The 22,893-nt window shown below is 40.7% G+C and overlaps 1 protein-coding gene across 1 annotated transcript; it reads left to right on the top strand.

The window, feature by feature from the left end:
• Positions 16,370-21,865, top strand: KRT6B (keratin 6B). The gene is made up of 9 exons (NM_005555.4): positions 16,370-16,977; positions 17,896-18,110; positions 18,444-18,504; positions 18,663-18,758; positions 18,883-19,047; positions 19,549-19,674; positions 20,518-20,738; positions 20,943-20,977; positions 21,091-21,865. Exons 1-9 carry the CDS (start codon positions 16,438-16,440, stop codon positions 21,324-21,326), a joined length of 1,695 nt encoding a protein of 564 aa, NP_005546.2. The 5' UTR covers positions 16,370-16,437; the 3' UTR covers positions 21,327-21,865.

Raw genomic sequence — 22,893 nt, 5'->3', positions numbered from 1 at the left:
TGCATGGTACCAATATTTCTTCAGCTTTTTCAGTTGACAAACGCCTTTTTATTTTTAACTGATAATCCATATCCCCATGTGCTTAAACCTTCTCCTTTAGAGAGGTTCGATTAACAGCACTATGGCATCCTGATATTCAGGTCTCTTCTCAGATTAGATTCCTCCTAAATGTTTGGCAAGTGGAGCGGGAGGCACCTGGTCCACCATGATTGTCCACTCTGGTTTTACTGTATGCAGGAACTGGCAGCCCAGTCCCTCAGACTTGGTCTCTAAGACTACTCCTCCTTATACACCGGTGCTTGGCCTAAATGCCCAGTGGAGAAACATTTTTGGCCAAATAGAGTAAAAGTCATTTGGGAAGAAAATAAGATACTTTATTTATACTTAGAATTGCCTCATGACTAAGAAAATTATTTGACAAGGTGTATCAACAGCAATCAATATGTGCCTACTTAGAATTGGACTTACACCTCTGGAAATGTATCCTGAGGAGACCGTGCAAATGCAGAAAGCTGTACACACATGGATATGCACCACAGTAATCTTCACAACGGGGAAATGGGACATTAAAGCTGATACAATTAAATATCCAAACAGCTGGGGGTGGTGGCTCACATCTGTAATCCCGGCACTTTGGGAGGCTGAGGTGGGTAGATCACCTGAGGTCAGGAGTTCGAGACCAGCCTGGCCAACATGGCGAAACCCCATCTCTACTAAAAATATAAAAATTAGTTGAACATGCGGTGGGCGCCAATCCCGGCTACTCGGAAGGCTGAGGCAGGAGAATCACTTGAACCCAGGAGCAGGAGGGAGGTTGCAGTGAGCTGAGATCACACTACTGCACTCCAGCCTGGGCAACAGAGCAAGACTCCATCTCGAAAAATAAAAAATAAAAATCCAAACAGCCAGGCACAAAACTCTCATGCTTATTCCTTGAAATGCAAAAGCAAAACAAGCATGGAAATTCCCTCCCTTTCACACTCTAAGCCTCTCAGAGATCCCACAAAACCGAGTCTGTTTACCGGAAGAGACAGTTATATTCCTCCCTCAGGAGTGAACTGGCCTGTCTGTGAACTGGGCTGGCATCTCTGAATGGCTAAGGAAAGTCTCAGGATATAAGTGGATGGTCAGTGAAATAGTGTTGCCTTTGGGCCACCTCAGTTCCTGTTTTCCTCAGGAGTGACAATTATCCCCCTAACATTCTGGCTCCCACATCACTAGAGACATTTTATTATTTGGCTGGCAAATTCACAGAGGGTGTTTCACGATCCTGCTGTGTCAGATTCCCACTGTGTTCACCCCTAGGCTTTTCCTCAGCAACACGGGCAGCTTCTGACATTGACATCTCCTCACTGCACTCCAGACCTCCCCAACAGCACGCATGTGATAACAGACCTAAGCCCACTGACCATGCATACAGTTATATACTCATGAGGCATAATGAAAAGGAAAATAACTGACAAGGTAAATTATCTAGGATGTAGAAACATACCAAAAGGAGGTTAAAAACAATGTGCATGTATGTGTATCTATATAAAAAATAAAAATCTTATAGTATATGGACATTCAAAGTATAATAAAGGAAAACTACAAATGAACAAACTTGAAACTTCAATGAAATGCACCAAATCCTTGAAAGACACAGGTTACCAAAAAATACACACAGGGAGAAACAGATAATTGGAATAGTAACACACCTATTAAATAAATTGAATCAATAATTTATAGCCTCTCTAAAAGAAAGCACCAAGCCCAGATATTTTTATTGGTTAATTCTATTAACATTTAGAAATGAAATGATACCAATTGTCTACAATGTCTTCTGGGAAACAGATGCAGAGAGAACGCTTATAACTCATTCTATGGAGGTCGATATTACTCTAACACCGAAACCAGACAAAGACATTTTGAGAAAAGAAAACTATAGACCAATACCTCTTATAAACATAGATGCAAAATCGCTCAACCAAATATTACCAAATTTAATCCTACCAAGTACTTCAAAGTTATACACCATAACTAAGCAGGATTTATCCTATATATGCAAGGCTAGTGTAACATTCAAAAGCCATCAATAAAATCTACCATATCAGAAGACTAAAAAAGAAAAATCATATAATTATATCAGTTGATGCAGAAAAAGTTTATTATATAACCCAACACCAATTCATGTTTCAAAGAAAACAAGCTTGTCAGCAAACAAGAAATGGACGGCAACTTCCTCAACTTGGTAAAGAACATCTGAAAAATAAAAAATCCCATAGTTAACATCATACTTAACAGTGAGAGACTAGGCCGTTTTCACATAGTTCGAGAGCAAGGCAGATATGTCCCCTCTCTCCACTGTTACTCGCATTGTACTAGAAGTTTAACTGCAGCAGTAAGATGAGAATAAGCAATAAAAGTAATATATATTAGAAATAAAAAAACTCTCTTTATCCTCATATGACATTTAGTCAATGTAGAAAATTTCAAAGACTCTACCAAAACTTTCCTGGCAGCAACAAGCAGAGAGAGCAAAGTTGCCGGCACGAGGTTACTAGACAAAAGTAAGTACTTTCTTATATACCAGCAATGAGGAACTGAAATTTGAAATTAAAAATCAATACCATTCACAATAACACCAAAAGGATTAAATGCTTAGGCATAAATCTAACAAAATATAAAGAGACTCCATAGGTGGAAAACTACTAAATAATGATGAAATAAATCAAAGATGTAAATAAATGAAGAGATATTCCAGATTTGTAGATTGGCAGACTCAAAATTATTAAGCTGTCAATTTTCTCTAAATTGATACATAGATTCAACACAATTGCAATTAAAATCCCAGCAAGATATTGTTTAAATATCAATAAACTGGATAAAGTTGATATGAAAAGGCAAAGGATCTTTGCAAGGTGATAAGTGAAACAATTGCAGTGGTGAGGTCACATTATGCATTTGTCAAAATCCATAGAATTTTGGGGGGATTTTAAAAATTAATATTTTAAATTGACAAAAACAAAACTGCATAAATTTATGAGGTACAATATGATGTTTTTATATATGTACAAAATATGAAATGATTAAATCAAGCTACTTAATATATCTATCACCCTGCTTTATCATTTTCTGTGGTGAGACATTTGAAATTTACTTTCTTAGCTATTTTGAAATATGCAATATATTATTATTGATGATTGTCACCCTGCTGCACAGTAGATCTCAAAACTTATTCCTCTCATCTAACTGAAATTGTGCTCTTTGACCAGCATTTCCCATTCTGTCCCATCTCCACCCCCTCTCCCAGTCTCTGATAACCATCATTCTACTCTAAACTTCCATAAGTTCCTCTCTTCTACATAACACGAATAAGTGAGACTGTGCAGTATTTGTCTTCCTGTGTCTGGCTTATTTCACTTAGCATAATGTCTGCCAAGTTTATCTATATCGTCTTTATTTTTTAGAGCTGTTTTAGGTTCACAGTAAAATTGTCCAGAGGTACAAAAACTTACCATATACCCACTGCCCACACAAATTCATAGCCTCACTCACTATCAACAGCCCCCACCAGAGTGGTACATTTGTTACAATCAAATCTACATTGATGTGTCATTATTACCCAAAGTCCAAGCTTACAGTAAGGGTAACTCTTGCAGTTGTACATTCTATGGTTATGAAAAATGGATAACATGTATCTACCACTATAGTATCATACAGATTCATTTCACTGCCCTAAAAATCTTCTGTGCTCCACCTATTTATCTTTCCCAACTAAGCCTTGGCAGCCAATGATCTTTTTACTGTCTTCATAGTTTTTTCCCTTTTCCAGCATGTCATATAGTTGGCTACAGTATGTAGCCTTTTCAGGTTGGCTTCTTTCACCTAGTAATATGCATTTAAGTTTCCTCCATGTATTTTCATGGCTTGATAGCTCATTTCATTTTAGTGTTGAATAATATTTCATTGCCTTGATGGGCCACAGTTGACTTACCATTCAACTACGGAAAGATTTGTTGGTTGCTTCCTAGTTTGGGAAATCAGGAATAAAGCTGCTATAAATATCTGTGTGCAGGATTTTGGATGGACATAAGTTTTTAACTCATTTGGGTAAACACCAAGGCATGCAGTTGCTGAATTGTATGGTAAGAGTATGTTTAGTTTTGTAAGAAACTGCCAGACACTATTCCAAAGTAGCCATACCATTTTGCATTACAAAGAATGAGAGTTCCTGTTGCTCCACATCCTTGCCAGCATTTGGTATGGTCAGTGTTCTGGATTTAGCCATTCTAATAGGCATGTAGTGATATCTTATTGTGCTAATTTGCATTGCTCTGATCTATGCTCATCTATTTTTTATATCTGCACTGGTGATGTGTCTGTTAAAGACTTTGGCCCATTTTATAATCAAGTTATTACTTACTGTTAATTTTAAGAGTTCTTTGTGCAGTTTGGATAATAGTCCTTATTGAATATGTCTTTTACCAATATTTTCTTCCAGTCTGTGGCTTGAATTCTCACTCTCTTGGTAGTGTGTTTTGCAGAGCAGAAGTTTTATTAATAATTTTAATGAAGTCCATGTTATCAATTATATCTTTCATGGTTCCTGACTTTGGCATTGTATCTAAAATGTCATTGTCATACCTAAGGTTATCAAGGCTTTCTCCTATGTTATCTTCTAGGAGCTTTACAGTTTTGCATTTTACATTTAGAGTTATGATCCATTCTAAGTTAATTTTTGTGGTGAATATAAGACCCGTATCTAAATTTGTTTTTCTACATGTAGATACCTAGTTATTCCAGCACCAATTGTTGAAAACGCTGACTTTGTATTGCCTTTGCTTCCTTGACAAAGATCAGTTGATTATATTTATGTAGATCAAATTCTGGGCTCTCTGTTTTGTTCCTTGATCTATTTGTCTATTCTTTCACCAATACCACCGTGTCTTTGTTACTGTAGTTTCATAGTAAGTCTTAAAGTAGGATGCTTGCAGTCCTCTGACTTTGTTCTCCTTCAATATTGTGTTAGCTATTCTGGGTCTTTTGCCTCGCCATAAAAACTTTAGAATCAGTTTGTTGATATCCACAAAGTACTTTGCTGGGATTTTTTTATGGTGGAAAACTCATAGAACTTTATACTGTGGAATTTTTATTAGGGAAAGCTCATAGAATTTTATACTGTGGAGTAAACCTTAATGTTTGAAATTAAAGAAAATGATTTATGAGATTGAAAGATCTTAGAATGGAATGTACAATGTGGCAAAAGGATCTAACTATATTACAAATGTGTGAAATCACCTCCCTGAAGTGGATGGGAAGAAAAAAGGCTGACATCAGGAACTCTGCAAGTGAGTGGAGTCTATGAGACTAAAGGCAAAGAAACTTGTGAGAACTGTATGTCAGTATTGTACTTGAGTTGATAAGGCTGCTTCCCATGGTGGCATGACTAACAATTCTGAAACCACTATGCCTGTGCTTTAGTCAGTGTTCTCCAGAGTAATGGAAACTATAGGGTATATATATATATATATATACACACACACATATATATATACACACACACATATATATACACACACACACATATATACACACTCATATATATATACACACACACACAAATATATATATATATCTGTACCTATCTATCTATCTGCATCTATCAATCTACTTACCTATGTATTTAGAGAGAGAGAGAGATTATAAAGAATTGGTTGATGTGGTTTAGGTGGCTGACAAGTCCCAAGATCTGCAGTGGACCAGCAGGAGACCCAAGAAAGCAAATGTTCTAGTTTGAGTCTAAAGGCAGAAAAAACCCAGCTCAAATGCTATTAGGCAAAAGGAATTCTCTCTTACTAACCTGTTTGTTCTATTCTTCCCTTTAACTAATTTAATGAGGCCCACTCACATAAGTAAGGCAATTTGCTTTACTCAGTATATATACTCAAATATTAATCTCATCCAGAAACATACTCACAGACACACCCTCACCCTGAAAAATGTTTTACCAGATATCTGGGAACTCCCACAAAAATATTCCACCATAATTTAAATTTTTTTTTCTATTCTGCAAGATGTGTTTTTAAAAAATTCAATAGTTTTGGGGGAACAGGTGGTGTTTGGTTGCATGGAAATGTTCTTTAGTGGTGATTTCTGAGACTCTGGTGCACTCATCACCCAAGCAGTGTACAATGTACCCAGTGTGTAGTCTTTTATCCCTCACCCCACTTCTACCCTTCTCCCCAAGTCCCCAGACTTCATTATATCATTTGTATGCCTTTGAGTCCTCATAGCTTAGCTCCCGCTTACAAGTGAGAACACGCAATGTCTGGTTTTCCATTCCTGAGTTACTTCACTTAGGATAATGGTCTCCAACTTTAGCCAGGCTGCTATGAATGCCATTATTTGATTTCTTTTTATGACTGGTGGAGGTGGCAGGGGTGTGAAGTAGACTCTGTGAGAGTCTTTCGTTGTTGATATGTTTAGTGTGCTGGTTTTCTCAAATTCTGGTTATGCTAGCAGTGAAGTTGTCACATCGACAGACCAGAATGTTGCAGGCAGTGGAATGAGCCGTTTTTTTCTCCTTCTTTGGAGCAGGGTTGTTCTGTCCTGAGTTGCTGTACTGTCCTGAGTTGGTTGGCCTCCAGCCAGGAGGTGGCACTTTTGAGAGAGCACCAGCTGCGATAGTAGAAGGGGAATATAAGCTTGCCCTAAGTTGGCCAGGATAAGTATTCAGGTTTCTCAGGTGATGGCTGGGGTCATAAAGCTCTCAACGGTTTATGTCTTTTGTGACTGGAGTTCTTCATCTGTCTTGTGGAATTTGCAATGGCCTTCTTCTCTTTTCAAAAAATCTGTGATTTCTTTCTGTTTTCATGGTATGCTTCTGCAGTGGTTCCTGGAGCAAAAGTTCACAGTGTGAGTCTCCATATGATGTTCTGTTCTTCAAAGTGGGAGCTGCAAGTCAGCCCTGTCTCCAATCCATCTTCCCTCTAATTTTAATTCTATTCCACAACATATGTTCTGATGATTAATTTTATGTGGCAACTTCCATGGATGTTATGTGTTCCATTCATGTTATATGGTCCCATCACAATACATACTGAGGAACAAAACAATTAAGTAAATGGATAGCAGATAGTCGCAGCCAGGGTTTTTGCTGTTGTTATGTGAGGTTGTAGATAAGCAAGAGAAGATGCTAGAATGATCCATGTGGTAATGAATTCAAGTTGGAGACTTGAATAGATAGATACAAATTGTTACATATAATAATACATATAAATGTATTTATTGTCACCTAACAGGGCCCAGAAGCAGTGACACACCAGCAGCAGTGAGCACATCTTGTACCTAGATCTTGGTTGCTAATGCTATTACCCACTCTTACCCACTGTTACCATGATGGTTAATTTTATGTGTCAACTTAACTGGGCTACAGGTGCCCATATATTTGGTGAACACTATTCTAAGTATTTCTGTGAGGATGTTTTGGATGAGATTAAGATTTGAATCCATAGACTGAGTAAAGCAGATTGCCCTCCCTATTGTGGGTAGGTCTTATTCAATCAGCTGAAGGCCTGAATAGAACAAAAGCCTGACTGACCCTCCCTCTGGTAGGAGAGAACTCTCCTGCCTTATGGCCTTCAAACTGGGACATTAGCTCCCTCTGGTTCTACAGCAGCTTCCAGCCTTCAAAGTCAAACTGACACATCAGCTTTGCAGATTTTGGATTTGCCATTTTCCGTAGTTATATGAGTGAATTCCTTAAAATAAATCTCTTTATATATTTATCTCCTATTGGTTCAGTTTATCTGAAGAACCCTGACTAGGAGCAAGTGGCTCTTGGAGAAATTGTTGATTTTAGGACTAGGGCAGGAGACATAAAAGATGATCCTGGAGCATCTTGCCATGTCAGAAAGTAAGGAAGTTTTTTAAATAACAGAGAAGCAAACAAAAATGAAAAAACACAAGGTGTCAATTAAAAGTGCTGCCAATGGCCAGATTGGAAAAAGTTGAGCAATGAAGTAAATAACTAAATGTATGTATTGGAATATAGTACAAAGCACAAAATAAATACCCATAAACCTATAGTGCTATAAATAAATGATTGAGTAAATCAGTGAGAGAGGATAGACAACTGTCACATGGAAGAATTCCAAACAATTTATATAAGTGCTCCCCCAGAATGAGGTAGAGTGTAACTGCTCCCCGCTTAAGTGTGGGCTGTGATTAATGACTTCTTTCCAAAGAGTAGAGCATGAAAAGGAGGTTCAGTAGTCCCCCCTTATCCATGGGGATAGTTCTAAGACCCCCAGTGGATGCCCCAAACCTCAGATAGTATCAAACCATACATATACTGGGTTATCTCCTATACAAACATACCTACGATAAAGCTTAATTTATAAATTAGGCACAGAGAGAAACCAACAATAACCAATAATTAAGTTATTATTAGTATTTTAAGTAAAATAGGGGTTCCTGAACACAAGTACTGTGATACCCTGACAGTTGATCTGAAAATCAAGCCAGCTGCAAACAGTCTCACGGACCACAGCACAAATTATGAATCAAGACTAAGAAATTAACTCAAAACCAGACAATTACATGGGATTTGAATAACCTGCTCCTGAATGACTTTTGGGTAAATAATAAAATTATGCAAAAATCAAGAAGTTCTTTGAAACTAATCAGAACAAAGATACAGAATTTCTGGGATGCAGCAAAGGCAGTATTAAGAAGGAAAGTTATAGGACTAAATGCCCACATCAAAAAGTTAGAAAGATCTCAAGTTAACAACCTAACATCACAACTAAAAGTGCTAGAGAACTGAGAGCATACAAATCCCAAAGCTAGCAGAAGACAAGAAATAACCCAAATCAGAGCTGAACTGAAGGAGATTGAGACACGAAAAACCATTCAAAAGATTAGGGCCAGGTGTGGTGGCTCACACCTACAATCCCAGCACTTTGGGAGGCCAAGGTGGGCAGATCACCTGAGGTTGGGAGTTCTAGACCAGCCTAGCCAACATGGTGCAACTCCCATCTCTACTTAAAAAATAAAAATCAATCAATAAATAAATTAGCCGGGTGAGGTGGCGCATGCCTGTAATCCCAGCTACTGGAGAAGTTGAGGCATGAGAATCACTTGAACCTGGGAGGCAGAGGTTGCAGTGAGCCAAGATCATGCCACTGCACTCCAGCCTGGGTGACAGAATGAGACTCTGTCTCAAAAAAAAAAATCAATAAATCCAGGAGCTGTTTTTTTAAAAATTAATGAAATAGGTATGCCACTAGCTGGAGTAATAAAAAAGAAAAGAGAGAAGATTCACAGCTGAATTCTACTAGATGTACAAGAAGAGCTGGTACCGTTCCTACTGAAACTATTCCAAAAAATTGTGGAAGAACTCCTCCCTAACTCTTTCTAGGAGGCCAGCATCATCTTGATACCAAAACTTGGCAGAGACACCACAAAAAAAGAAAAGTTCAGGACATTATCTGTGATGAACATTGAAGCAAAGATCCTCAACAAAATACCGGCAAATCTAGCGGCACATCAAAAAGCTTATCCACCATGATAAAGTAGGCTTTATCCCCGGGATTCAAAGTTGGTTCAACATACACAAATCTATAAATGTGATTCATCACAATAACGGAACTAAAGACAAAAACCACATGATTATCTCAATTGATGCAGAAAAGGCTTTCAATAAAATTCAACACCGCTTCATATTAAAAATTCTCAATAAACTAGGTATTGAAGGAACATACCTCAAAATAAAAAGAGCCTTCTGTGGCAAACCCACAACTAACATCATACTGAATGGGCAGAAGCTGAAAGCATTCTCTTTGAAAACCTGTACAAGACAAGGATTCCCTCTCTTATCACTCCTATTCAACATAGTATTGGAAGTCCTGTCAAGGGCAATTAGGCAAGAGAAAGAAATAAAGGGCATCCAAACAGGAAGAGAGGAAGTCAAACCATCCCTGTTTGCAGATGACATGATTCTATATCTAGAAAACCCCATAGTCTTGGCCCAAAAGCTCCCTCAGTTGATACACAACTTCAGAAAAGTTTCAGGATACAAAATCCACATACAAAAATCATTAGCATTCCTGTACACCAACAACAGCCAAGCCGAGAGCCAAATCAGGAAAGCAATCCCATTCACAATTGCCACAAAAAGAATAAAATACCTGGGAATACAACTAACCAGGGAGGTGAAAAATCTCTACAATGAGAATGACAAAACACTGCTCAAAGAAATAAGAGATGACACAAACAAATGGAAAGAACATTCCATGCTCATGGATAGGGGGAATCAATATCATTAAAAAGGCCATACTGCCCAAAGCAATTTGAGCAGATTCAATCACATTGGATTATATTCAGTGTGATTCCTATCAAACTACCAACAACATTCTTCACAGAACTAGAAAAAAATTATTTTAAAAATCATATGGAACTAAAAAAGAGCCTGAATAGCCAAGGCAATCCTAAGCAAAAAGAGCAAAGCTGAAGGCATCACACTACCCAATTTCAAACTATACTACAAGGCTACAGGAACCAAAACATGGTACTGGTACAAAAACAGACACATGGAACAGAATAGAGAATCCAGAAATAAGTCTGCACACCTACAACCATCTGATCTTTGACAAACCTGACAAAAACAAGCAATGGGGAAAGGATTCCCTATTCTATAAGTGGTGCTGGGATAACTGGTTAGCCATATGCAGAAGGCCGAAACTGGACCCTTTCTTTACCCCATATACAAAAATCAACTCAAGATGAATTAAAGACAAATGTAAAACTCAAAACTATAAAAACCCTGGAAGACAACCTAGGCAATGCTATTATGGACACAGGAACAGGCAAAGATATCATGACAAAGACACCAAAAGCAAATGCAACAAAAGCAAAAATTGACAAGTGGGGTCTAATTAAACTAAAGAGCTTCTGCACAGCAAAGGAAACTATCAACAGAGTGAACAAATAACCCACAGAATGAGAAAAAGTTTTGCAAACTATGCATCCGACAAAGGGCTAATATCCAGCATCTATAAGGAACTTAAACAAATTTATAAGAAAATAACAACCCCATTAAAGAATGACAAAGCACGTGAACAGACACTTTTCAAAAGAAGACATACATGTGACTAACAGTCATATGAAAAACAGCTTAACATTACTGATAATTAGAGAAATGCAACTCAAAACCATAATGAGATACCATCACACACCAGTCAGAATTAAAGAGTCAAAAAATAACAGTTGCAGAGAAAAAGGAATGGTTATGCACTGTTGGTGGGAGTGTAAATTAGTTCAACCATTGTGGAAGATATGTGGATTCCTCAAAGGCCTAAAAACAGAAATACTATTTGACCCAGCATTCTCATTACTGGGTATATACCCTAAGGAATATAAATTATTATCTTGATACTAGTATAAGTATGTTGTAGGATAAAGCAGATAAACCATATGTTAATGTCATTTAGAGCCAAACTTATCAGTGTGAGAAAATTTAAATACAGGTATGCATTATTCTATTAGGTTGGGGCAAAAGTAATTACTGTTTTTGCCATAACTTTTGCACCAACCTAATATAATCTTCTATTTGAATTGAAATATCAGTATAAGCTTCTGATTTGCTATCTTTTTAAACATATTTGTACATTTTCCTAGCTCCGACCATTGAAAAGACTTCACAGCAAAGGCAACTCAGTAATAAAAAGGGCTCCTAGCAGCCGAATTCTAGTTGATGTATATCATTTCCCAATAAAAGCAACTAGATCTACAAGGAGAAATAGGTGATTTCATGTCCATTGCATGAGTACAAAGTAGGCCTGAGACATCTGGTCCTAGAAAACAAGAAACCTATCGAAACCAAATGAGGTCCTGTCAAAGGACACAGAAGCCAATCTAAAGAACTTCCATTGCTTCAAATAGGACCATTTAAGTGCCAAAAGAATGAATGGACTGCAGTGGACTGAAACATATCAAATATATTTTTTGTTAAACTGTGAATTTATAATTATATCACAACAAAAATACCTTCTTGGTTACCTTTGAAGATTGCTAGAGAACCAATCTATTATCTGAAAACTGATAAATAAAGGGAAAGAGTCAAACACTTATTCTAAGTTTCTTGTATGAATTAAATGTTAGGTTACCTAAAAGGTAAATGATGAAGAGTCCTTCTTTGTAGAGGAATCCCAACTAATAAACACAGAAGGCATGATAAAATCAGCAAGATGCCATTTTGCAACCTCTAATGAAGCAGTGAATCTGGAAATTGATGGAATCAATGAATATTAATATATCAGATGAAAATTGTATTGTGTGCAGTGGTTTATAATGGAGGGATTGGGTTGAACCCACTGAAATCCCCTAATCAGTCTTAACAGCACAAAAAGTAGGCAATTACTATTACATATCTTATGATATGGTGCAAGAGGATGTACATAGCACCAGCTATTGCATAATCTTGCCTGCCACAATGGGAACAAATCTAATCAAGTCTTCACTACAACTACCAACACATAGGAAAAACTAGGTGAGAGAAGGCGTTATGTGATACCAACAGGAAGCAATGAGTCAAATCCAGAATATGAACATTCTATAGAAACAAACAAACAAAAATTCCACAAATCAATGGCAAATAAAAGAAAAAGACAGGGTTCATTACAGAATAAATAACCTTAAAAGACATGGCAGCCGAATGTAATATATGAACCTAATTAGGTTGTTGCTTGGAATAAGCCAGCTACAAAGAGAAATTTTTGAGATAATCAGAGAAATGAAAATATGAAGGAGGTATTGGATAGATTTAATACTGTTACACAACTAGATTATAAATTCACTACTACTCAGCTATATATACAAATATTGACAAGTGAAATGTCTTGATGTCTAGATTTCCTTTAAGATACTTTAAGAAAAGAAGTAGGGGAGTTAGATATAAAAAGACTAGGGGAGTTAAATGGAACAATAATGAGAAAAATGTTGATAACTGTTTAATCTGCATAATTCATTCATGGAGGTTTATATACTGTTCTCTTTACCTGTTGGAAATTTTCAATAATACAAAGTTTGTTTTAGCAATGAAGTGGCTTATTACACTGAGAAAAACACAAATATAGCTTGAGATTAAATTTCTAGTGATAGTAAAAATGATGTTTTATGGAAAGCATTCAAGTTACTCAAAAACAGCTCAAGGGAAGATAGAGGCCCTACAGAACAATGAAACATCTATATTAACAAAGTGCAAGAGAGGAAAAAAATAATATTTCAAACTTAGGTTATTGGATTAACATTTTACATAATATGATATTTTAAATATAAATGAGTGGCTTCTGAACTTAATCTAGTGGAAGAAAGGGAAGCCCTTTCCTCTTCTCAGAAATTGCCTAAAAACAACAAAGAGAACAAAAAACATAAAGGCAGACTCTACCCTCAAAAACCAGAAGTAAAAGATCTTAAAATCCCTAAACCAAATGATGATGATGATGATGATGATGATGATGATAATAATAATAATAATAGAATGTCCTCACATAAATAGAGAAATACAAACAAGGTTGTTAGGAAAACTCAGAGAGCAGATGCCACGGCTGCCAATCTCAGACAAAGCCAGTGGAGAACACTCACAAATAAACAGATCAAAATCAAACAACACAGTAACCACAAAGGAAAACCAAACACAGCCTAACAGTGAGGTTTTACTACATGCCAGGCACAGTTGACTCATTTTCCTCAACTAAATCAATGTAAAGGGCATGTCCTCCTGTGAAAATCCAAGAATCCCTTATTTGCAACTATCACAACTGGGTGTGTGAGCACGAGCCAGGACCCTGCTTGTCATGAAGTTTCAAGAAACTATGAAGGCAAATTTGAATAAGAAGAGAGACAAGGTCAACTAGTAGCATTTTATTGTGAGGCAAAGAAAACAAAGAGGCTGTAAATTGTGAGCCACTCTGCAGTGATCTTTATTGGTTTGGCTGAATGAAAGAATAAAAGAACTATTCACACAGCCCTGTGTCACAATCAGAACTCCTGTTAGCCTGGATATGGCCCTGGCTCATCCACCCATAATACTTTCTACAAACCGCAGGTCCAGAGGGGGCTCATCTCATTAAAAATAAGCACTAGTCAGAAAGGAACCATGCCAGGACTCAGAAAAGGTCTGTGCATTCAAAATTGAAAAAAATAGGCAAAAAAAAAAAAAAGACTCATAAAAACTCTCAACAGAAAAAGGCACAATAAAATACTAAAAAATAAACACTATAAAGTGGGAAAAAGAAGACAAAATATAGTGAGACAGGTAAAAGATAAAATATTCATTTGTGGAGCACAGAAAAGGGGTAGAGATAACAACAAAGTCCTGCTTAGAAATGAAGGTCAAATTGGCCAGGTGCGGTGGCTCACGCCTGTAATCCCAGCACTTTGGGAGGCCAACGCGGGTGGATCACGAGGTCAGGAGTTCAAGATCAGCCCGGCCAACATGCTAAAACCCCATCTCTCCTAAAAATACAAAAATTAGCCGGGCATGGTGGCAGGTACCTGTAGTCCCAGCTACTTGGGAGGCTGAGGCATGAGAATCACTTGAACCTGGGAGGCGGAGGTTGCAGTGAGCCGAGATCATGCCATTGCACTCCAGCCTGGGTGACAGAGCAAGACTCTGTGTAAAAAAAAAAAAGAAAAGAAAAAAGAAATGAAGCCCAAATTGAAAGCGGCATAAGGAGGAAAGACATTGGTAAACAGACAGTAATGGACATTTGGGAGAAATGTCCTCGAATAACTGGGAAAAGCAAACAGCTATGAAAAAGAGACTAGAGACTGTTAAAAAGAGAATCAGAAAACATAGATGTGGGAGACAAAGCAGACACAACACAATCACAATTGAAAAAGACAATATTTTTATGTTTTGTACATATGAATACATGAAATATTTTATATACATAAAACACACTCAAACACATACACACAAAACATTCATGTATTTATTTATATACCTTTCTACAATGCAGGCTCCCTCTCTATATATGCCAACTCCCTCCACCTCTTCCTCACCCATACAAACACACGTTGACACAAACACATATGCACAGACATGTCACCCATGGCCCAGGAAAAGCACAGGAAAATATCCAAGTAAAGATACAAGGATACACAAGGAACTGCTAACATTACTTCCTCCATAGATAGGAATTGGGTAACTGGGGAATGGCCTTGAGCTATATTATTTTGTTGTTTAGCATGTTTTACAAAAAATTTTTTAAAACATGTATCATGTATTCAATTTGTAAACATGTAAATAATTGTGCAAATAGTACTATTCAAAATTTAAATGGGCAATCTACTACATTTACTTCTAGAATGTTTAAATATAGACAGAATCTTAATAAGCTTCTAATTTTAATATGAAATATGAAGGTTAGAGTCTCATATTAAAGGAAACAATAGGGGTATGCAATTAGAAAAATCCCAAGAATGAAAAAGTACAATGAACAGTTAACCTGTTTTATTTAACAAATAAAAGTAAGAAATGAAGGGAGATTTTTAAATTTCAATGATTTAAAGGATATATCACTCAAATACAACGTTTATAGAGCTTATTTTGACTCTGATTGGGACACCAAAATATAAGAAATATATATCAAAAATAGGACTGCTTGAAGACTAAATAGACACTTGTTCATTTTAATTAGTATGTAAATTTTTAAGATATAAAAATAGTGTTTTGATTTTTTAAAGGACCTATTATTTAGATATTAATATTGAATTATTGATTGAAGACATAATATGACTTCTGGAATTTCCTTTCAAACAATCTAGAATGGAAGAGGAAATAGGGTTGAAGTATGAAAGAAATCAGGCTGGCCATGAGATGATCATCATGGAAGCAGGTGACAGGTATATACAGGCCCATTGCAGTGTTCTGCTTCTCTACCTGTTTAAAATTGCACCTAAAAGGTGAAACAATTATGGGGAAATTGTAATATTTCTGTTAAGGAATTCACAATACAGTGCCTGTGATCTCCAACAGCAAGGCTGGAAGAAAGTCAGACTGGGAAGAGGAGGGCACTCAGGGCATGTCGATAAACAGCCTAGCATGCAGAACCTTTGCTGAAGACAGTGACTAATTCCAACTTCATGAATTGAGAATACTCTTATTGTGCTGAGATCTCAAGTCAAAGCTGGAGGCAGGAACATTTTGCCTGACTAAAGGAAGCGAAAAATGCAATCTCGGTATTTCATAACTTTTGTAATAATGCAGGTGTGATCTCACTATTTGTAAAGCCCAGCCCTTCCCAACCTGCAAGCTCACCTTCCAGGACTGGGCCCAGCCCATGCTCTCCATATATAAGCTGCTACTGGAGTCCGATTCCTCGTCCTGCTTCTCCTCCCTCTCGCCTCCAGCCTCTCACACTCTCCTAAGCCCTCTCATCTCCTGGAACCATGGCCAGCACATCCACCACCATCAGGAGCCACAGCAGCAGCCGCCGGGGTTTCAGTGCCAACTCAGCCAGGCTCCCTGGGGTCAGCCGCTCTGGCTTCAGCAGCATCTCCGTGTCCCGCTCCAGGGGCAGTGGTGGCCTGGGTGGCGCATGTGGAGGAGCTGGCTTTGGCAGCCGCAGTCTGTATGGCCTGGGGGGCTCCAAGAGGATCTCCATTGGAGGGGGCAGCTGTGCCATCAGTGGCGGCTATGGCAGCAGAGCCGGAGGCAGCTATGGCTTTGGTGGCGCCGGGAGTGGATTTGGTTTCGGTGGTGGAGCCGGCATTGGCTTTGGTCTGGGTGGTGGAGCCGGCCTTGCTGGTGGCTTTGGGGGCCCTGGCTTCCCTGTGTGCCCCCCTGGAGGCATCCAAGAGGTCACTGTCAACCAGAGTCTCCTGACTCCCCTCAACCTGCAAATTGACCCCGCCATCCAGCGGGTGCGGGCCGAGGAGCGTGAGCAGATCAAGACCCTCAACAACAAGTTTGCCTCCTTCATCGACAAGGTGAGCCAGTGCCATGCCCTCCATCGGGCACTTCAGGGTCCCCAGACCAGAAGAGCAACACCTTCCTGCCGGAGAGACCCTAGGAGGGAGGGAGAAGGGGACTCAGCCCAGCTCTGCAGAGAGTGCAGGTGGCTCTCGGTGCACAGGAGGCAGCACAGATGGGCATCACTCCCCCATGGGATATCTGGAGTGGCCCTCACTCCTGCCTAGGGAGAGCCATAACTTTTCATAACCCTGAAGCACAGATGAGGCCATCAGAGAGTGGAGTAGGTTAATTCTCCCCTCTGAAGTGTTTAAGAGATTACAAAGCAAATGCCAGGAGTATATGGGCTGGTAAATTACACTCTGGGGTCTGGGTAAGAGGAAAAAGATTTAGAAAGAAAAGGAAAAGATAATCTGGCTGGATTAAGAAAAAAAGGGACATAGAAACAACTGTAAAACATGGATAAATGCTAATTAATTTTAAAAACAGAGAATGACCATAACATCAGAATATTTGAGAGGAGACACTAAATGGGAAAGTAGACTGAAATGTAATCATGAGTCAACATCTAATATCCCTCCTAACTAAGATCCTCTCGGTAAAAAAAACTGTGTACAATATATCAGGTAATTAGTATTTTTAAACTAGATTTGTGATTGTGCTTGGAAAAAGAAAAGAAGAAATGTTGAAACTCACTGATGATCAATAGCTTACAGTGCGAGAACACCTCAGTGGTCCGTGGGACAATTTCTCTAGTGAGACTGGTGGGGTGCAAAGGAGAAGGAGTTGGGGGAGCAGAGCTCAGCCTGAGCCTCTCTACATGCACTGTAGTAGCCCAGCACCATGGGGACCTCCCAGACCTCCAGGAAACTGGATACCAGACACTTTCTCTGCCTTCCTTTTCCTGGAAAATGACCATTTTGCTTCCCCTCCAGGTGCGGTTCCTAGAGCAGCAGAACAAGGTTCTGGACACCAAGTGGACCCTGCTGCAGGAGCAGGGCACCAAGACTGTGAGGCAGAACCTGGAGCCGTTGTTCGAGCAGTACATCAACAACCTCAGGAGGCAGCTGGACAACATCGTGGGGGAACGGGGTCGTCTGGACTCGGAGCTGAGAAACATGCAGGACCTGGTGGAGGACCTCAAGAACAAGTGAGGACTCCATTTCCTGCAGCACACACTTCAAGACTATTGGGTGACCAGGGCCAGATGTGTGTAGGATTCCTAACAACCCATGTCCATGGAAATGAAAAGCACAAATTAGTCCCTAGGAGCAAACCTGCAAGAACCACAGATGGTTATGGGAGGATGGGGAGATTAAAGAAATGGCAAATTTAGTAGTAGCAAAATTCATCTCTTTGGCTCTCTGTGGCAGGAAAGCTCAATTAGAATATATTCCATTCAGGAAAATGTTGAATCCCAAGCTGCTTTTCTGTTTCATCCTACCCACTGGCTCAAATGTGTCCCATGCCTTTCTTCCTGTAGATATGAGGATGAAATCAACAAGCGCACAGCAGCAGAGAATGAATTTGTGACTCTGAAGAAGGTGAGCAGATGAAGCCAGGGGTTCAAATTCATTTAGAAGGAGAGAAGTGGCTCTGTGTCCTCGCTCCCCTGGGAGAGGAGAATTGGCAGGAGGACTAGAAGATGGGTAGATTGGAAAGGTGAGCTCAGGCAACTCCAGGTTGTTGGCTCTTTCCCCAGGATGTGGATGCTGCCTACATGAACAAGGTTGAACTGCAAGCCAAGGCAGACACTCTTACAGATGAGATCAACTTCCTGAGAGCCTTGTATGATGCAGTAAGCAACTCCACCATCCTTCTGTTTACTCTGATGGGGTCTGCAAAGGGGAGAAGATGTACAGGGCTGGGCATCTCTGTAAATGTCAGAAGTGAAGTTGATCTTATGACCTTCTGTTCTGCAGGAGCTGTCCCAGATGCAGACCCACATCTCAGACACATCCGTGGTGCTATCCATGGACAACAACCGCAACCTGGACCTGGACAGCATCATCGCTGAGGTCAAGGCCCAATATGAGGAGATTGCTCAGAGGAGCAGGGCTGAGGCTGAGTCCTGGTACCAGACAAAGGTGAGCACGGAGTGGACAGCCGCTGAGGAATCCTTGTGTCCATCCCTGAATACCAGAGGACTGCAGACTTCACTGGGGACATCCCCTGACAGGAAGCTGGGGTCCTCTCACAGGACATGCACTCTGCACTATTAGAGTAGACATTTGCGGAACTTATGCCCAAGTCAAGGAGGAAAAACAACCCAATGCAGGAGGCAAGCTACGATAGACAAGGACATAGTCATCTGTGCTTTTAGCTTCACCTTGGTTGCTGACTTTTAGAAATTGGTACAGAACATTTCTACTCCCTAAGAAAACTAGGCAGGCAGTGGTGCCATAATAAGGATGGTCTGTGACTCCAGTGTTTAGTATCCACCCACCACATAACATCAACTTTTCCTCAAGTTTCTTGGGGAGAAGCCATTAGGTCCACTTCATGACATTCATGATACACAAGTGAAAGTCATCGCTCCCAGGTAAGAACCCGTAGACACTGTCTCTCTCTCCACCTCTGGGCTGCAGTACGAGGAGCTGCAGATCACAGCAGGCAGACATGGGGACGACCTGCGCAACACCAAGCAGGAGATTGCTGAGATCAACCGCATGATCCAGAGGCTGAGATCTGAGATCGACCACGTCAAGAAGCAGGTATGGTGAGGGGCAATGGAGGAGAAAAGCATCATTTTTTTTATTAGGTCATGAGGCAGTAGTCACCCATCATTTAGTAAAATTCTTTGGGAATTGATTGATAAGCAGAGAAGGAAAGACATGCAGTTCCTAGGCTCAGTGAGAACACTCTGGCTCAGAGACATGGATCACACCCAAGGATATGAAACAATCACCTGGGCAGAAGCACTCTCAGCTGGTCAAAGCTGTAAAAGTATAGTCTAGAGGCATTGGAAGGGCTTATGTAAGAAGACTGATTGACTTTGGAATTGCAAAGGACCAAGTTGGGCAAGATGTCAGGTCAGAAAGCATCAGTAACATTGCTGCAAATCTGCTCAAGGTTCACGGTGAAAAAGCAAGTGAAACCAGGGCTATGAGGAAGGAAAACGTGGCCCAAGCAGGTGAGAGGATGTGAGGCAGGAGGAAGGCAAGGTCACAACAGCCTCATGTGAAAACTCATCACCTCAGTTGACAACGTTTGCAAATTATTGTGGCATCCATGTAAGGTCATCAAAAATGGTTTTGGTTTTTTTGCTTTGGAGCCAACACTTAATGTCCTTGGTCTTGTGTCCACTGTGGCATCTTCCATTGGTCATCACCCACATCTTTAGGCAGTGGAGTTAACAGAAAGGGCACAGGATTTTATCATGTGACTCCAGACGTAAAAACTTTGAAGACAGTAAAAAGGCTAGACAGGAAGAGTCAGAGCTCATTTACCATCAGTTCTGGGTTCCTGGTGCCTTCTTCACTGGAAAAGAACCAGCCAGGTTTATTCTTCTCTGGAAGACCAGATGACAAGTTCTTTCTCTTCCTTTGCCCTCCTAGTGTGCCAACCTACAGGCCGCCATTGCTGATGCTGAGCAGCGTGGGGAGATGGCCCTCAAGGATGCTAAGAACAAGCTGGAAGGGCTGGAGGATGCCCTGCAGAAGGCCAAGCAGGACCTGGCCCGGCTGCTGAAGGAGTACCAGGAGCTGATGAACGTCAAGCTGGCCCTGGATGTGGAGATCGCCACCTACCGCAAGCTGCTGGAGGGCGAGGAGTGCAGGTGGGTAACTGACGCGACTTCCTCCAACAGCTGAGTCCATCTTCAAGGTTCTGGCACTGAGCACAACTTTAAGGTGCACTGCCCAAGGCCATAATTGCTCTTCTTGGGAGAAAACTAAAAGTTTTCCCATGGACTTTCCCACCCACTGAGGCTTCCCATGCTCGTCCAGGGAAGGTCTCACCCTCCCTGTGTTCCTCTCCACAGGCTGAATGGCGAAGGCGTTGGACAAGTCAACATCTGTAAGTACCTTTGTTTGCCTTCCTCCCCTGCCCTTGCACTCTCCTGACTGGGCTCAGGCCGGCAGGATGAACTCATTGTGGCTTCTTGTGTCCTTGTCCCCTCCCCACCACAGCTGTAGTGCAGTCCACCGTCTCCAGTGGCTATGGCGGTGCCAGCGGTGTCGGCAGTGGCTTAGGCCTGGGTGGAGGAAGCAGCTACTCCTATGGCAGTGGTCTTGGCGTTGGAGGCGGCTTTAGTTCCAGCAGCGGCAGAGCCACTGGGGGTGGCCTCAGCTCTGTTGGAGGCGGCAGTTCCACCATCAAGTACACCACCACCTCCTCCTCCAGCAGGAAGAGCTACAAGCACTGAAGTGCTGCCGCCAGCTCTCAGTCCCACAGCTCTCAGGCCCCTCTCTGGCAGCAGAGCCCTCTCCTCAGGTTGCTTGTCCTCCCCTGGCCTCCAGTCTCCCCTGCCCTCCCGGGTAGAGCTGGGATGCCCTCACTTTTCTTCTCATCAATACCTGTTCCACTGAGCTCCTGTTGCTTACCATCAAGTCAACAGTTATCAGCACTCAGACATGCGAATGTCCTTTTTAGTTCCCGTATTATTACAGGTATCTGAGTCTGCCATAATTCTGAGAAGAAAATGACCTATATCCCCATAAGAACTGAAACTCAGTCTAGGTCCAGCTGCAGATGAGGAGTCCTCTCTTTAATTGCTAACCATCCTGCCCATTATAGCTACACTCAGGAGTTCTCATCTGACAAGTCAGTTGTCCTGATCTTCTCTTGCAGTGTCCCTGAATGGCAAGTGATGTACCTTCTGATGCAGTCTGCATTCCTGCACTGCTTTCTCTGCTCTCTTTGCCTTCTTTTGTTCTGTTGAATAAAGCATATTGAGAATGTGAACATGTTGTGTTAGATTGTATTGCTGACCACTTCCTGGTTTAGAAACATTCGCACCCCACAAATGGTTTCTTATCTTTGGGGAACTGCTGCTCTCCCCACTGACCAGTCATCATGGAGGATGAGTCGGGAGCTCCCCCTCCACAGCCTACTCCATCAGTCAACATTATGTGATTCTGTCGGACACTCCGGTGGACAATCACCAACTACTCAGCCCTCACCACTTGGGAATTTTTCCACAAATGGAGTCTTTTATAAAGCATCAGAACAAAAAGGGAAGCTAATTCCTGGAATCTGGATCAGCATAATCTGATAACTAAGATTCATTTATATTTTTTATTTTTCAGCCCCATCATTTGGTGGCTTGACCCCACACTGATCTCTGAGACTCCCTCTCTCCCCGGCTCCCCACCACCAGGGAAATATTGCACTGACCCTGCAGATCAGAAACACTTGGTAAGAAGCAGGTGCTTGCCCTGACTCTATGATTATTAAGACTTTTGCCACCAATGCTTGCTCTGATATAAACTTCTAAAATCCATCATTCAAACTAATAGATACAGTAAAGGAGCATCCTCAAATCTCAGTGTATGGATTTAAAGCCATGCAGTGCCATATGTTTTGGAATGGTTTTGACACAACTCAAAGATACATGGGCTGAACTTAAGAACTTATCCTGGGGCCGGACTTGGTGGCTCACACCTGTTAATCCCAGCACTTTGGGAGGTCGAGGCAGGTGGATCACTTAAGGCCAGGTGTTTGAGACCAGCCTGGTCAACAAGAAGAAACCCCGTCTTTACTAAAAATACAAAAATTAGCTGGGCATGGTGTTATGCACCTGTAATTCCAGCTACTCAGGAGGCTGAGGCACAAGAATCACTTGAGTCTGGGAGGTGGAGGTTGCAGTGAGCCAAGATAATGCCACTGCACTCCAGCCTGGGCAACAGAGCAAGAACTCCATCTAAAAAAAAAAAGAAAAAAAGAACTTATCTTGGGAAAGGCTGGTTAGAATGTTTATGACTGTACACCTA

This window comes from Homo sapiens, chromosome 12 (assembly GCF_000001405.40).
Source record: "Homo sapiens chromosome 12, GRCh38.p14 Primary Assembly".
Taxonomy (NCBI): Eukaryota; Metazoa; Chordata; class Mammalia; order Primates; family Hominidae; genus Homo; species Homo sapiens.
This window is presented reverse-complemented; position numbering and strand designations above follow the sequence as displayed.